Consider the following 16,803-nt stretch of genomic DNA (forward strand, 5'->3'; position numbering starts at 1 on the left):
TCCTGGCTCTACTGAGTCTAGTCTGTGGCACTGTGGGCAAACCCCGCAAGCTCCTGGAGCATTCTTCATCTGTATTGGCTGATACAGTCATCTCTCCCTCACTGTAAGTTCTTCTTACGTAAACTCCATGTGTGGGTCTCCTTTTATAAAGGCAAAGTCCCCCTAAGTTGCCACCAGCTTGTCCCTCTGAATACACCTAGTGCCACCTTTATACTTTTTTAAAATTCATGTTCAGTCACGTTCCTCAAAGGCTCTCAAAATATCACTGCCAATTGCCAAAGGGTCCTTAAGTATCCCTGCAAATATAGATAATGTTGCCGGGGTGGCAGCTGCTGGGGGATCTCTGAGGGCACTGCATTACGCAGGAAGTGTGGGGGCGCTGCACAAGCAGAGATCTGTGTCGGGAGGAAGTGACTCTTCATGGCCAATAGGTTCTCAATGCTCCTCCCATCCCCGCAGATCATTACTAGCCACAAAGGGAGAAGACGCTGCAAAGCAACTCTCTAACCAGGGACTTTCATGTGCCCGGGTTCCACTAATAAACTAAAACTTGTACAATATAAAAAACTATATTGTAATACTGGAACTATACACAGTTCCATCCCTCCACCCCACTGGCGAGGCACTGGATTAGAAAGGCAAAACAGTGGTAGTGGTGACTGTGGTGGCAGTGAGCAGCAAGAAAGCAGATGGCGCCTTTCTGGAGGGAGTCGGTGCACAGGTGAAATGAAACAGGTACTCGGCCAATAACCTTGGCCTTGCTCACATCCCTGGAGAGAGAAGATGATAACTCTACATGGGGTTTTCCATGAGCCTTCAATCCCCGCACAGCAAGCACGCATCACCCGTCCCACGATTCTCAACCAATTTTGCTAGAAGTGACTCAGTCCGTCTCTCAGCTCTGCCCCTTCTACAGGCACCAGCCCAAAGCCAAGACTGACCAGAAATCCAACACCCTTCTTCTTCCTGGGCCCTTCCACCCCCAACAGGTGGCTGGGTACGCTTGTCCTGGGAAGGCCTTAGCATGAACTGAAGGGTGTGGGCTGTGGAATCAGGGCAGGTCGCATCTAATGATGACTTCCTGATTACTTATCTGCTTGCCCCTGAGCAAATTACCTAACCTCTCGGAGCTCAAGTTTCTTCACTTGCAAAATGAACTTTCAACAGTACTCCCCCTCACCAAGTAGCTATGGGAATGACATCAATGGATGTAAATCCCTTAGCACCCTCATCCATAAATGAGCAAAACTATTTCACTAGATATTTCACTGGTGAGTCAATGAGCTTAAAAAAAAAGGAACAAAATAAAAATCCTACATAAAAAATTAGCTAAATGCTCAAAAACATCCCAAGAATGCCAAATGCCTTTTCACTTTCATTTTTATATACAAATCACCTCTCACTGCTGCAAACGAAGAATGTAAGAATGAAAACGTGTCCCACAGGCCTCCATCTGTGTTCAGGACAGTAAGAGTTTGGGACTAGACTCATGATTCTAGCAGCAAACACTTTTTTTCTTTTTAAAGAAAGAAATATTGCATAGAACCCCACCATATAAAGCAGACTAAATGAGAAACTGCTTAATTAATAAGGGTAGAGGAGGGGGTCTCAAATGCCTGTCTGTACTCCCAAACCTAGTGTCTGTGACACCTCCAAGAATCCCTATGGGCCTACAGAGCACCAGAAAAGCCCTGCACTAAAGCCCTTCCCAGCTTTGTGATTCTGGTTCTAACAAGTCTAGAAAGTTTTTCGGGGGTAAAAAAAGATTGCTAAAAAGACTGGTCGTACATTCTCTCTCAAGTATCTTTCACCTGCAAGCCCCATCACCACTGCCGCCCAGGGTCTTTGCTACCTGACCACCAGGGGTGATTAAACCATTTCATCACCTGGCCCTAACCTAGCTGACTTACTGTCCCCACCTCACCATCCACAGCCACCCACCCACCCTCTGCCTCAGCCAAACCCAAACTCACCCTTTTCTCTCCACATAACAGTTCCATGTCTTCACACACACCATTTCCTCTATCTAGAATGCTCCTGACTCCTCGAAAAGGTCCCCAACTCTGTGAAGCCTAATGCAGTTCCCCCTTCCCCACCCTCAGAGCTCCTCACTCCTTGTGGGCTTCAACATGACACCGACCATAATGAACTGAAATTACATCTTTCACTCTCATACAGGGATGGCAAGACAACTGGTGCCACCTCAGTGGGGGCCAAGACAAGTCAGCAATATTTATCAAATTTCAAACACAAAGACAACCTCACCCAGCAATACACTTTTGGTGATTTTTCCTCCAAAGCTTAGGTGTAAAGGATCTTCATGTCAATGCCGTTTGTAAAACAAAAGAATGGGGACAACTTAAATTTCCATCAAGGCAGGATTGGTTAAATAAGGTACATCCACACTGTAGAACACCTACTAACTATGAAAAATAGTGAATAAGCTCTATACATATATGTATATGGAACCATGAAAACTACTCACCTAAAAACACATTTCCCCACACCCAAGGATCCCAGTCAAACATGGCCAGGCGTGGTGGCTCACACCTGTAATCCCAGCACTTTGAGAGGCTGAGGCGGGCGGACCACTTGAGGTCAGGAGTTAGAGACCAGCCTGGTCAACATGGTGAAACCTCGTCTTTACTAAAAATACAAAAATTAGCCAGGTGTGGTGGCGTGAGCCTGTAGTACCAGCTACTCGGGAGGTTGAGGCAGAAGAATTGCTTGAATCCAGGAGGCGGAGGTTGCAGTGAGCAGAGATCACGCCACTGCACTCCATCCTGGGTGACAGAGAGAGACTCGTCTCAAAAAGAAAAAGAAAGAGAGAAAATGTCAAACACTGAGAAAGAGATGCCTGGGGATCCTCTCTGCTTGTCCTTGTCATCCCAAATACCACTCTTGCTCTTAAGCAAAACTCCGCACATTTACTAAGGTCTTATGTACTAGACACTGTCACAAACATTCATTCTTTAGGCTGGTTATTTTTTTGATCACGGAAGAACTTGCACTTACCTGCAAGTTCTCCAATTTGCACTCCAAATCAAGGTAAATGCCTAGAAGTTTTCTGTTTATTCCACCATGGAATGTGCTGCCTGCCATTCACTGGCTTTCACTCTCTAAGCCCCATACTTTTCCTGTCTTTGTCTCTATTTTAGGTTCCATCCTACCCCAAGGTCTATAACCCTCTGTCCACTGGCAGTAACTATTGGTATAAACTATTTCTTCCTAGTGGCTGGGGCATGGGACATCCTGGCCAATTAAATATGCTGAATTTAAGACTGCTGCCACAGATGGATTTCTATTTTCAAAATACAGATTCAATTCAACTTTTACTTAATCTATGTCATCTTTTTATGCATTCGGAGATAAGGAAGGACCATATAGTGTATGATAATTTATATAAAATATCCAGAATAAGCAAATTCATGAGACAGGAATTAGATTTGTGGTCACCAGGGGCTGGGGCAAGGGAGAAAGGGGAATGACTGCTTAATGGGTACAGGTTTCCTCTGGAGTGATGAAAAAGTGTGAAACTAGAGTGGTGATTCTTACACAACATGGTGAATGCACTTAATGTCACCGAACTGCATACTTTAAAATGGTGACGTTTTATGTTATGTGTTGCCATAGTCTGGATGTGGTTTGTCTCCACCTAATCTCATGCCTAAATTTGATCCCCAATGTTGGAAGCAGGGCCTAATGAGAGGTGTTTGAGTCATGGGGGTAGATATCTGATAAAAAGATTAATGCCCTCCCTGGCAAGGAGTTCGGGGGGTGAGGGTAAGTAAATTCTCATTCTCCTAGTTCCTGAGAGCTGGCTGTTTGAAAGGGCCTGGCGCCTCTCCTCTCACTCTCATCCTTCCTCTCTTGCCCTGTGATCTCTGCACACAGATTCCCCTTCACCGTCCACCAGGAGTGGAAGTAGCCTGAGTCCCTTACCACATGCCCAATCTTGAACTTTTCAGCCACCAAAATTGGGAGCCAAATACACCTTTTCCCTTTACAAATTACCCAGCTTCAAATACTCCTTCAGCAACACAAAACAGACTAAAACATGTAGTATTTTAAGGCCAAGGCGGGCAGATCACTTCAGGTCAGGAGTTCAAGACCAGCCTAGCCAAAATGGTGAAACCCCGTCTCTACTAAAAATACAAAAATTAGCCGGGTGTGATGGCTAACACCTGTAATCCCAGCTACTCGGGAGGCTGAGGCAGGAGAATCACTTAAATCCGGGAGACAGAGGTTGCAGTGAGCTGAGATCACGCCACTGCACTTTAGCCTGGGTGACAGAGAGAGACTCTGACTCAAAAAAAAATAATGTGTATTTTACTACAGCTTTTTGAAAAGTAACTAACTTACGACTGGAAAAAATTAAAATATGTTAAGCCACTATTTCTAATACATTAATGTAAATATAAGGGATACCTAAATAAAGCTTAAGGGATCTGTCTCCTATAAACAGACAAAAAATAAAATCTAACTTGTTGATAAGTTTCCTACATAGACACACAGAAAAAGATACTGAGGAACAATAATGAGAAGCCATTATTTAACCTATTAAATTAGCGACAATTTTCTTAAGATTACCCAACGCTGATGAGGATATTTATCTACAGCTGATGGGAAGAATAAACTCGTGTAACCTTTCTGGAAAACATGTGATGAAGTGCCTTAAAAATATTCAGACTAGGCCGGGCGCGGTGGCTCACGCCTGTAATCCCAGCACTTTGCGAGGCCCGGGCAGGCAGATCACGAGGTCAGGAGTTCAAGACCAGCCTGGCCAACATAGTGAAACCCCGTCTCTACTAAAAATACAAAAAAAAATTAGCCAGGCGTGGTGGCGGGCGCCTGCAGTACCAGCTACTTGGGAGGCTGAGGCAGGAAAACTGCTTGAACCCGGGAGGCGGAGGTTACAGTGAGCCAAGATCACGCCACCGCACTCCAGCCTGAGCAACACAGAGAGACTCTTAAAAAAAAAAAAAAAAAAAAAAAATTGTTCAGACTACATCTAAGTTTATTAAAAAAAAAAAAAAAAAAAAAAAAACCCTCATACCCTTGGGCCCTTCTGGGAATCTATCCTAAGGCAATTTTCTAAAATACATACAAAGGTTTTCGCAAAGACATTAATCACATTATTATTTACCATGGCAAAAAACAGAACAATGAACTGCTTAAAAATCCATGCAATTCGGTATTATAAAGCCACTGCAAATATTTATAAAATATTTAATGATTTGAAAAGCCACTTATGCTATAAAGCGGAAAAGGCAGAAGAAAAAAGTGCATTTACAGTGTAATCTCAACCATATTGAAAAAGTAAATAGGAAAAAAGACTAGAAGGAAGCAAATCAAAATGTTATTAGAGATTGAATCCAATGGTGGTAATTTTTTTTTTTAATTATCAAATATTCTAGAGTTCAAAATACTTTTTACAATCAGGATAATAACAACTAAGCAAAATCAAGAAGTGGCAGAGAAGATTTTGTGTTTCTACAGTAGCATCAGCACCTACTTTAATTGTCTAGCAGTACTAGAATAAAGAAGGCACAGAAACTGAGCTAAATTATTGGTCACAAGGCCAGGAACAACGGCTCACACCTATAATCCCAGCACTTTGGGAGGCCAAAGCAGGAGGACTGCTCGAGCCCAGGATTTTAAAACCAGCCTGGGCAACACAGCGAGATCCTATCCTGATACAAGAAAAAAAATAATAATTTTAAAATTTAAAAAAAAAAGAAAATTTTTAAAAAATAAATTGTTGGTCACAAATGTTGGAGGGCTTGGCTGCTGCAGTTTTGTTGTTTGTTAGTAAGTACCTATGGGAGAAGAGCTTACAAAAACTCCCTATACTATTTCTGCAACTCTTCCGTAAGTCTTACATTATCTCAAAATTACATATTTAAAATAAATAAATCTGGCCAGGCGCAGTGGCTCACACATGTAATCCCAGCACTTTGGGAGGCCGAGGTGGGTGGATCACCTGAGGTTGAGAGTTTGAGACCAGCCTGGCCAACCTGGTGAAACCCCATCTCTATTAAAAATATAAAAATTAGCCGGGCGTGGTGTCACATGTAATCCCAGCTACTTGGGAGGCTAAGGCAGGAGAATCGCTTGAACCCAGAAGGTGGAGGTTGCAGTGAGCTGAGATCGTGCCATTGCACTACAGCCTGGGCAACAAGAGTGAAACTCCGTCTCAAAAAAATGAAATTAAATTAAATAAACAAACCCTTTTTATAAAAATGTTTTTATTTAAAAGGACATGAGTCCGTGACACAGCCTCAGGAGGTCCTGATGACATGTGCCCCTAAAATTAAAAAATCCTTGATAGATCACTCAATTTATCTTTCTCTAAAAACAAAATGCAGATGAATAATTTCCTGGACAATAACAAAGCACTTGGCTCACTACAACCTCCACCTCCCGGGTTCAAGCAATTCTCCCACCTCAGCCTCCTGAGTTGCTGGGATTACAGGTGCCCACCACCATGTCCAGCTAATTTTTGTATTTTTTTAAGTAGAGACAGGTTTCGCCATGTTGGTCAGGCTGGTCTCAAACTCCTGACCTCAGGTGATCCGCCTGCCTCGGCCTCCCAAAGTGCTGGGATTACAGGAGTGAGCCACCATGCCCGGCCTTTTTATTTTGAGACAGTCTTGCTCTGTCACCCAGGATAAAGTGCAATGGTGCAATCTCAGCCCACTACAACCTCCACGTCCTGGGTTCAAGTGATTCTCCTGCCTCAGCCTCCCAAGTAGCTGGGATTACAGGCACCCACCACCACACCTGGCTAATGGGTTTCACTTATGTTGGCCAGGCTGGTCTCGAACGCCTGACCTTGTGATCTGCCCACCTTGGCCTCCCAAAGTGCTAGGATTACAGGCATGAGCCACTGCACCTGGCCTCCTCATGAATTTTTTAAAAGGCCTTCCCTGGGCCGGGCACGGTGGCTCACTCCTGTAATCCCAGCACTTTGGGAGGCCAAGGCGGTGGATTACCTGAGGTCAGGAGTTCAAGACCAGCCTGCCCAACATGGTGAAAACCTGTCTCTACTGAAAATACAAAAACTAGTCAGACATGGTGGTGGGCACCTGTAATCCCATCTACTCGGGAGGCTGAGGCAGGAGAATCGCTTGAATCCAGAGGCAGAGGTTGCAGTGAGCCAAGATCACGCCACTACACCCCAGCCTGGGCGAAACAGAGGGAGACTCTATCTCAAAAAAAGAAAAGGGAAAGGAAAGGACAGAACTTCTCAGGTCTGATTATTAATGAGTTTAGAAACCAACGATTTTCCTTCCAGCTCCATTTGGCTTATAAAATACCCTTAACTTTTCAGGGAGCCCTAGACCAGAGATCTTTTTCATTATAACCTTCATATAAAACAGCAGCAGGCTCCTCTAATGGAAATGAACCTATTGCATATGCTAAGCCTAATGGGCTTACCTGAATTAAAACTCAAAGAAATCAAGCAATCTTCCTTTTTGTTGATGTCCTGTAATATGGACCAGCTACCACTGTGCCCTCAAGTCATACTACTTTTTCTTTCTTTCTTTTTTTTTTTGAGACGGAGTTTCGTCTGTCACCCAGGCTGGGGTGCAGTGAGCCAAGATTGCACCATTGCACTCCAGCCTGAGCAACAGGTAAAGATTCCGTCTCATAAAAAAGAAACCTAGTGATCTAGAAAAAAACATGGGCCTTGGAGTTGGAACCTTAGAACTGAATCCTGGCTCTGTCAACTCACTAGGTAATTCTGATTTCTGTTTTTTTGGTTTTTTATTTTCTTAGCCCAGATGAAGAGAACACTAGGTAACTTTGGAGAAGTTACTTAGCATTACCCACCCTGGGCCTCAGCGTCCTTATCTTCCTCAACTATAAAATGGGAACATAATACCTACCTGGCAGGGTGGCTATGAGAGATTAAATCAAATACCCTACGCGGTATGCATGAGGGCCCCTTAACGACGACTAGCACAGAGTGCAATTATGAAACACAGACCTTTTCTCTCTCTATGCCCATTTCCTTCCCTTCCCATTAGCCTCTTTCACCCCCTCACTTCTCTGCCCTGTGTCTTTCCTTGGTTAAGATCCACAAAGACCTCACCTCACCCACTCCCACTCCTCATTGTTCCTCAGCGGTTCTCCCAGTAGCAATTAGCTTTGGGGCTCCCCAGTAAGCACACCACCCCCCACAGCACTTGTTCTGACAACTTCCCTTGCTCACCTGCTGCCCATCTCCACCCACCGGGGGAAAAAATACAGTTATCTGAGCTTGCTGGTTGCATGGATTTTGGAAATACAAGGTGTTACTGCATTCATACTCTATTTCACTCTTACCACCCTCTCCAAATACTATTACTATCATTTACTAACCTCAAGGGCCCACCTTGACCTGCTTGGGTTTATTTTTACACCTGACTCTTAATTACTCATGTATCTGCTGAATGCTTACTAGGCACTAAAGAGGCGAAGCAGAGTAAGACGCACTCTGCTATGGGCTCTTAAAGAGAAAGAACTAATCCTCCTCACCCCCAGGCTTGGAGTGGGAAGGAGGAGGAGTGGGGAAGGAGGCAAGAGATCCACATTTTGCTCTTGAAACTTCTGAACTGTCTGACACTCACTGTAAGAATGTAGTCTTGGCCGGGCGTGGTGGCTCATGCCTGTAATCCCAGCAATTGGGGAGGCTGAGGCGGGTGGATCACGAGGTCAGGAGATCGAGACCATCCTGGCTAACACGGTGAAACCCCATCTCTACTAAAAATACAAAAAATTAGCCAGGCGTGGCAGCATGCACCTGTAGTCCCAGCTACTCGGGAGGCTGAGGCAGGAGAATGCTTGAACCCAGGAGGCGGAACTTGTAGTGAGTCGAGATCACACCACTGCACTCCAGCCTGGGCGACAAAGCGAGACTCCGTCTCAAAAAATAATAATAATAATAATAATGTAGTCTTGTCATTCTTATATTAACAAAAACAAACATATCAAAATAATAAAAGCCAAAAAATACCAAACTATAATCGAAGATGACCTATGATAAACTAGCAGCTGGAAAGCCTCAGAGAGGTAATGTTTATGGTAACCTTGAGATGTCACATAAGTTTCATTTGCAAGAAAGAAAAGGGCGCTAGAGCAGAGGGAACAGCATCAGCAAAGGCAGACAAGTATTAAAGTGCACTGAGTGTTCTGGGAATGACAAATGGTTTGCTGTGGCTGGAAAACAAGGTGTACTTTGGGAAGTCTTTCATAGATACTCCAAATAAATCACTTTAAGTATTTAATGAACCATCTTCATCCTTACTGAGGGACCTCAAAGTAAGTAAGAAACTTAAAATTCAGGGCCCATGTTACTCTACCATGATGAAAACTTGGTCTCAGACAACAGTGGGAACCCTCTGCTCTGAATGACTGGGGTTCACGTGGCATGATCACATCTGAGCTCTATGAGGCAGCTCAGCAGTACGGAAGATGGACAGAGGGACGCAGAACCTGGAAGAGAGGACCGGTCATGACAGCAACAACCAAAGCAAGAGACAATGACAGCTTGATCAAAGCAGAGGGAATGGAGGGAAAGGTCAGGGTCAGGACACAGATACGTTAGCAGCAGCATCAACAGGTCTGGAAGCAGGGGGGCGCTATAGAAGAGGAAGTTAAAGATGACTCAGGTTCATCATTTGACTAGCTAGAAAATGAGGTCATTAACAGAACCAGGGCAAGACAGAGGAGGCACTAACCTGAGAGGAAGATGATGGATTTGGTTTAACACACATTTAATTTGATGTTGTCAGAACACTGGATATCTACAGCTGGTGAGGGTTTAGTTTTCATTGGTACACGGGTCATAGCTGAAGCCATGGGAGGCTAAACCAAGAGACTAATACCATGGATGCCACGGGAGCCAAGAAGAAAAGTGTTTCAAGAAAAGAAAAGGAGATCAGTGGCTGCCAAAGGCCACACTGAGAGGTCAAATGACCTAAGGATTGAAAATACGCATTAAACTGAACTCAGCACACAGATGTTACACATAATCTTGAAAAGTGGTAAAGACAAAAAGTCTGCTGGCTGGGCGTGGTGGCTTACGCCTGTAATCCTAGCACTTTGGGAGGCTGAGGCCGGAGGATCACTTGAGCCCAGCAGCTCAAGGCCAGCAGGGGCAACATGGTGAAACCTCGTATCTACAAAGAATACAAAATTACCCAGGCATGGTGATGCATACGTATAGTTCCAGCTACTCAGGAGGCTGAGGTGGGAGGATCGCGTGAGCCCCAGGAGATAGAGGCTGCAGTAAGACATGATTGCTCCACTGCACACCAGCCTGGGCGACGGAGTAAGACCCCATCTCAAAAAAAAAAAAAAAAAGTCAGTCAGCAATGGGTTGTAGAATGAATGACAGGGGGAAAGGAGAGGTGGGAGGTTGAAAAAGTAGAGGTAGAGTGGCAACCACACTTTCAGGAATTCCTACCCTTTCAACACAGCCTGTGCTATCACATCTTCCTTGGCTTAGACAGATACATTTGACAATGCAACTACTTAAGATCTTCAACATCCTTCTCGTGCCCAGGGCCAACTACCTTCATGTCAACAGCGCCACAACTGCTCACCTACCTACAGAGATAGCCACATCCCATATTTCATCAGCACATGGCCCATCTCCTGTCATCTCTTCCTATCAGTTTACATGTTATCGCTTCCATTCCTACCAAATCCAAATCACCAACTGATTAAAACTTTCTACTACTCTCAATCGCCAGGTTACAGGCTTCCAAAATCAGCTTGTGCTTTTCCTTCTTCCTCATCTCTTAACTCTGGAATCAGTTTTAAGTGACAACTCCCTTACCAGGTCTTCCTCTCAACCACTAATTACACATGCAAGAACAGGCAGGCCCTTGTCACATCCACACAGGCATGGTGTAACATCTGGTTTCCCACATCTAACCTATACACAGCAGATTAAGTTTCCTTTAAGGAAAAACCATCCAACAAGAGAAAGCCAAACTCCCTAGGGTAGTACTGGAGACCCTCCATCATCTAGCCACAAACTACCTTGATAGCCTTCTCTCCAACTACTTCTTCACATCCTTCTCTTCTGAAACTTCCAAACTTCTGAAACTGCTAGGGAGCCTAGTTTACTCCTTCCCTAAAGCTCCCTTTGAACACCCAAGACCTCAACAACATCCCTACCACAATTTAATTGCCCACTATGCCAAGAATTGCTCTAGACTCTTGGGATACATGAACAAAAGAGAGATTCCCTAGCTTTATGGAGCTAACATTTTAGCAGGAGACAACAAAAGACCAACCTCATTAATAATATTGAGTATATAAAATGTTAAAAAATTGTACAAAAAGAGAAGTAAAGCAGGATGTCAGGGACTGGAAGTGCTGAAGTGGCATTACCATTTTAAACAGGGTGGTGAGGGAAGGCCCCACTGGAAAAGTGACTCGAGGCTTAAAGGTTTAGTCAAGCAGATTCTCAGGGAGAGCACGGTCCAAGCAGAGGCAGGGAGCCAGGCCAAAGGCCTGGAGCAGGAACATGCCCAGAAGGTCTGAAGAGCAGTAAGAAGACCGAGGGAGCTGCAGCACAGCCAGTGAGAGCTAAAGGAGGTGAGCTAGAGGGGAGATGTGACCCGTCTCACAAACCAGCTTGGATGTCAAGCAGACAGCTGGAGACTCGAGAACTGGAGCTGAGGAGAGAGATGTTGGGTTATAGGTGTCCTGGATGAAGGCACTAAGTTCGAGGCCTAGAGTGTTCCGGCTATGAGATGAGGAAGAAACAACCTGTGCGACAGGAGGAAAACCAAGAACACACCTTAGTGTCCCAGCGGCCAAGTGACGAAAGGCTGAACTGCAGAAGGGGTACTCCACTTGTCTGACACTACTGACAGATCCAGTAAGATAGGGACTGAGAGCTAACCACTGGATTTAGCAACACTGGATAAGCAACACTTATCACCTTGATAAGTGAGATTAAGAGAGAATAATGCCAGGCGTGGGGACTCACATCTATAATCCCAGCATTTTGGGAGGCCTAGGCAGGGGGATCCCTTGAGCCCAGGAGTTCAAGGCTGCTGTGAACTATGGTCACTCCACTGCACTCCAGCCTGGGCGACAGAGCGAGATCCTATGTCTAAAATTAATGAGCAAAGGGAAAGTGAGGAATTAGAGACCAAGTACAGGCCACTCCTTCCTGGGGTTTTGTTGCAAAGGGGAAAAAAGAAATAGGGCAATAACTGGCCAGGAAAGTAGGAGTAAAGGTTTCAGATAAAAAAAATACCATGTTTGTGTACTACATGTATATGTGTACATAGGTATGCATATAAAGCCCTAGAAAGTCCTACGCACCCAACAAATGTTTATTTCCTTCACTCTCACTTCACACCTATCATTTTCTATTATCTTTGTTGCTATATATGTGACCTTTGTAACTGTCTGCAAGAAACTTTCACTTGGAAGGCCCTTTCTTTGTCCCAGTGTCAAACTCTTCCTCATCCTTCAAGACTCAAATATACCTTCCTGGGAAGCCTTCCCTGACTCTTCTCAGCCAATCTCTCTCAGGTCAGTACCTATGCAATCTTTGTACCAATGCCCCTTTGCACCAACACATTCTTCTACTATCACCTGTATCACAGTCTCTTGTATTTTCAGAGTATGTTGACTTATCTTCCCCACTAAACTGACTCCCAGAGGGCAGGGGCAGTATTAAATATTACCCTGGAAGTGTAACGGTTATGAGCAGTGACTCGCTGTGTGACCTTGGGAAGTTGCCTAACCTCTCAGTGCACTGAATGTCAGCTATAAAACATGAAATGAAAGCTGCCTTTAAGCCAGGCATGGTGGTTCACGCCTGTAATCCCAGCACTTCGGGAGGCCCAGACGGGTGGATCATGTGAGGTCAGGAGTTCAAGACCAGCCTGGCCAACATAGTGAAACCCCATCTCTACTAAAAATACAAAAATTATTCAGGCATGGTGGTGCGCACCTGTAGTCCCAGCTACTCGGGAGGCTGAGGCAGGAGAATCGCTTGAACCCAGGAGGTAGAGACTGCAGTGAGCTGAGATCACGCCACTGCACTCCAGCCTAGGCGACAGAGCAAGACTGTCTCAAAAAAAAAAAAAAAAAAACTGCCTCTACCTCCTAGAGTTGTTTGGGACAGTAAATGGGTTCATAGGTTCATAGATGTAAGATGCCTGGCATATAGAAAGCAATACACACACACACACACACACACACACACATATTAACTATTATATTGTTAGATTGTAACCACAGTACCTAGGGTTGTAAACTTCATAGCAGGAAGTCAATACATTATTTCATGATTATTTGGCCTGGTGTGGTGGCTCGCGCCTGTGATCCTAGCACTTTGGGAGGCTGAGGCAAGAGGACTGCTTGAGATCAGAAGTTCAAGACCAGGCTGGACAACATAGCAATCCCCACTCTCTACAAAAAATAAAAATAAAAAAATTAGCTGGGCATGGTGGCATGGGCCTGTAGTCTCAGCTACTGAGGAGGCTGAGGTGGGAGGATTGCCTTGAGACCAGGAGATCGAGGTCACTATGAGCTGTGACTGTGCTGCTGCGCCCCAGCCTGGACAACAGAGCAAGACCCTGTCTCAAAAAATAAATAAATATATAATAAATATAAAAACCAATAACAAAAACTCTGGCTTAATCTACCTATTTCTTTATACTACATTAATTTTGCTGACCACATTTTGGTTTTATCAGGTGATTTGAACCATATCATATACTAATTTTTTCAGAAGCTATTCAAGTCATTTCTTGACAGGTAACTTTTTCTCCAGACTTTCTCTAATGCTGTGACTGACATACAAAACCTCTGGGTACTGCTGAACCTTTCCCTGCCATCTCCCTGCACCCCCATGTCTTCTTTGTACCTCTGAGAGCATGGGGTACAATGCAATGCTGTGGATGAACAAGTGGATGACATGCCATGTGAGTGGCTAAATTTCAGTTCTGATTCTGCCTCCATTACAGGGGCCACTCACGGTAACTGATATTAAAAAAATAAGGCTAGGTGTGGTGGCTCCCACCTGTAATCCTAGCACTTTGGGAGGCCAAGGTGGGCAGATCATCTGAGGTCTGGAGTTCGAGACCAGCCTGACCAACGTGGTGAAACCCCATCTCTACTAAAAAACACAAAAATTAGCCGGGTATGGTGGTGGGTGCCTGTAATCTCAGCTACTCAGGAGGCTGAGGCAGGAGAATTGCTTGAACCTGGGAGGCAGAGGTTGCAGTAAGCCAAGATCGTACCACTGCACTCCAGCCTGGGTGCAAAAGCAAGATGCCATCTCAAAAAAAAAAAAGGAAAGAAAGAAAGAAAGAAAACAAACCTTAGCAGGCAATTCAATTTCTAAGCAACTAAAAAAGAAATGCTAATATAAGCAAAAACTCAATTTTGCACACAATTTTCATATTAAGCAACAGCTCGCTCAATACTAAGTAATAATTTCTCAGCAAAGTAGTGGGAACCTCTAACATGTCACACCACTTAAGAATCCATGGGAATGCAACAAAAAATGATTTAATCAAATACAGTTATAGTATGCTAGCTCTTCCTGTAATTCTATACTGCAACTATAAATCTTTTTAAACTGGTTCTAAATGTGAAGGTCAACAGGGATAGTGTAAACAAAATTCCCCATACTCCCTATGCTCCACCACTATCTATCTCTAAGCCAAACAACATACAGGTGGAAGACTCTCCTGATCTTCCTTCCCATGAGGCAGCACCCAAAGAGCACAGGCTCCGGAGTACAGCACTTTGGGTCTAAATGCCAACTCCACCACTTGTCAACTAGGAATCACAGAGCAGGTCTGTCCATCTCCCGCTCTGGCAGGAACAGCCATAGTGGAACCTAGCAGAGTTGGTGGGGTTTACTGATACTGAATGACTAAGAGAAAAACTTGGCCAGGCGCAGTGGCTCACGCCTATAATACCAGAACTTTGGGAGGCCAAGGCGAGTGGATCACCTGAGGTCAGGAGTTCGAGACCAGCCTGGCCAACCTGGTGAAACCCCATTTCTACTAAAAATACAAAACAAAAAAAAAAACTAGCTGGGCGTGCCTGTAATCCCAGCTACTCAGGAGGCTGAGGCTGGAGAATCATTTGAATCCAGGAGGCAGAGGTTGCAGTGATCCAAGATCATGCCACTACACTCCAGCCTGGGTGACAGAGCGAGACTCCGTCTCAAAAAAAAGAAAGAAAAAACAAGTAATGAGTGAAGAATAGCTAGCACATCAAAGATGCTTAATAAGTGGTAGTTTTTATCACATTACGCCACTTTCAAGTCTTATTAGAGTTGAAGATTTAAAAAGAAGATGTTAAAAGGGCTCAAACTTATGCCAACTAATACCCTTAAAAGTAAAAATGTTAAGTCAGCAAGAAATGGAGAGGAAATAATTTCCTGGAATAAAGAGCTGGGATCCCAGGGAAAAGACCCTCCGCCTGTAAGACACCAGCCAGGCAACAGTTTCCTTACCTTTGGGGGACAGGGCCTACCCTACCCAAGCCCCTGACCCTGGGATACCTACAGATGAACCACTGTGTCAGTGACACAAAAAGGACAATCCTATTCACATCAACTATGGCCACCCCCTGTGTACTTAAATAACTGAGGTCTAGGTGACAAAAACTTTGACTTGCAACGTACCTCAGAAAAAATGCACATGGAGTTCATGAAGCCAACTACTTTACAATTCATTACTCAAAGGTGGTCATTCCCATGATGCTCTACTGACTGCCAATTAAAATGAAACCTCAATACAAGGGTGCTGGGCTAGCTCAGTCAATAACAAAATTCTGTCCAAGGGTCCTAAAGCAATGCTGTAAGTTTCCCAAGGGGAGGAATGTGTGTCTTGTTCATCTGTACATGCCCTAGGCCCTGGTATATGGTGGTGGCTACTGAAAATTCACTTGTAAGATTTGTACACCCATATTCACAGCAGTATTATTCACAATAGCCAAAGGGTGGAAGCAACCCAGGTATCCACCGAAGGATGAAAGGATATATGAAATGCAGCACATACTCACAATGGAATTCAGCTTTCAAAAGGAAGGAAGCTCTGACACACGCCACCACACGGATGAAGCTTGAGAACACTGTGCCATGTGAAATAAGGCAGTCACAACAGGCCAAATACTTCATGACTCCACTTACATGAGCTACCTAAAGTAGTCAAATTCATAGAAATAGAAACTAAAGTAGGGCAGGGGAGAGACTGAAAAAAGACGGGTACAGGTTGTTTTGGGAAAAAACCTTTGGAGATATATGGTGGTGATCGTTGCACAACAATGTGAATGTTCTTAATTTCACTAAACTGTACACTTAAAAATGGTTAAAATGGCTAATTTTAATTATGTATATTTTACTACAATTAAAAAACAAAACTTAAGTATATTGAGGCCGGGCGCGATGGCTCATGCATGTAATCTCAGCACTTTGGGAGGCCGAGGCGGGTGGATCACCTGAGGTCAGGAATTCAAGACCAGCCTGACCAACATGGTGAAACCCCATCTCTACTAAAAATACAAAATTTAGCCGGGCATGGTGGCGCATGCCTATAATCCCAGCTACTCGGGAGGCTGAGGCAGGAGAATCACTTGAACCCGGGAGGCAGAAGTTGCCGTGAGCTGAGACTGCACCACTGCACTCCAGCCTGGGCAACAACAGCTGAACTCCATCTCAAAAAAAAAAAAAAAAAAAGCATTACTGAAAGAATAAATGAAGGAAGGAATGAGTGCTACTTTCATTAGCCACTAAATGTTATACCTCATACCTCTAGATTACTC

At 44.4% G+C, this 16,803-nt stretch overlaps 1 protein-coding gene across 2 annotated transcripts in view, besides 2 other annotated features; it reads right to left on the reverse strand.

The window, feature by feature from the left end:
• XPO6 (exportin 6) overlaps window positions 1–16,803 on the reverse strand; it is a 113,990-nt gene that overhangs the window by 94,967 nt on the left and 2,220 nt on the right. Inside the window, exon 2 of one of the 2 annotated variants that reach the window (NM_001270940.2) lies at window positions 16,045–16,180. The exons of the other annotated variant lie outside the window; for it this stretch is intronic. The gene's annotated coding sequence lies outside the window, so the exon portion shown is untranslated. The remainder of the gene's footprint in view (window positions 1–16,044; window positions 16,181–16,803) is intronic. 2 annotated transcript variants of the gene reach the window in all.
• Window positions 608–837: an enhancer, noted in NCBI's record as "active region_10639". NCBI's record gives its function as "activates an Ori minimal core promoter by ATAC-STARR-seq in GM12878 lymphoblastoid cells {active_cell/tissue: GM12878}" and the evidence as "EXISTENCE:reporter gene assay evidence [ECO:0000049][PMID:35858748]".
• Window positions 15,966–16,260: a silencer, noted in NCBI's record as "tiled region #6679; HepG2 Repressive non-DNase unmatched - State 14:Gen5', and K562 Repressive non-DNase unmatched - State 14:Gen5'". NCBI's record gives its function as "represses a minimal TATA promoter and a strong SV40 promoter by Sharpr-MPRA in HepG2 and K562 cells {active_cell/tissue: HepG2 | K562}" and the evidence as "EXISTENCE:reporter gene assay evidence [ECO:0000049][PMID:27701403]".

This window comes from Homo sapiens, chromosome 16, assembly GCF_000001405.40.
Source record: "Homo sapiens chromosome 16, GRCh38.p14 Primary Assembly".
In the NCBI taxonomy this organism is placed as follows: domain Eukaryota; kingdom Metazoa; phylum Chordata; class Mammalia; order Primates; family Hominidae; genus Homo; species Homo sapiens.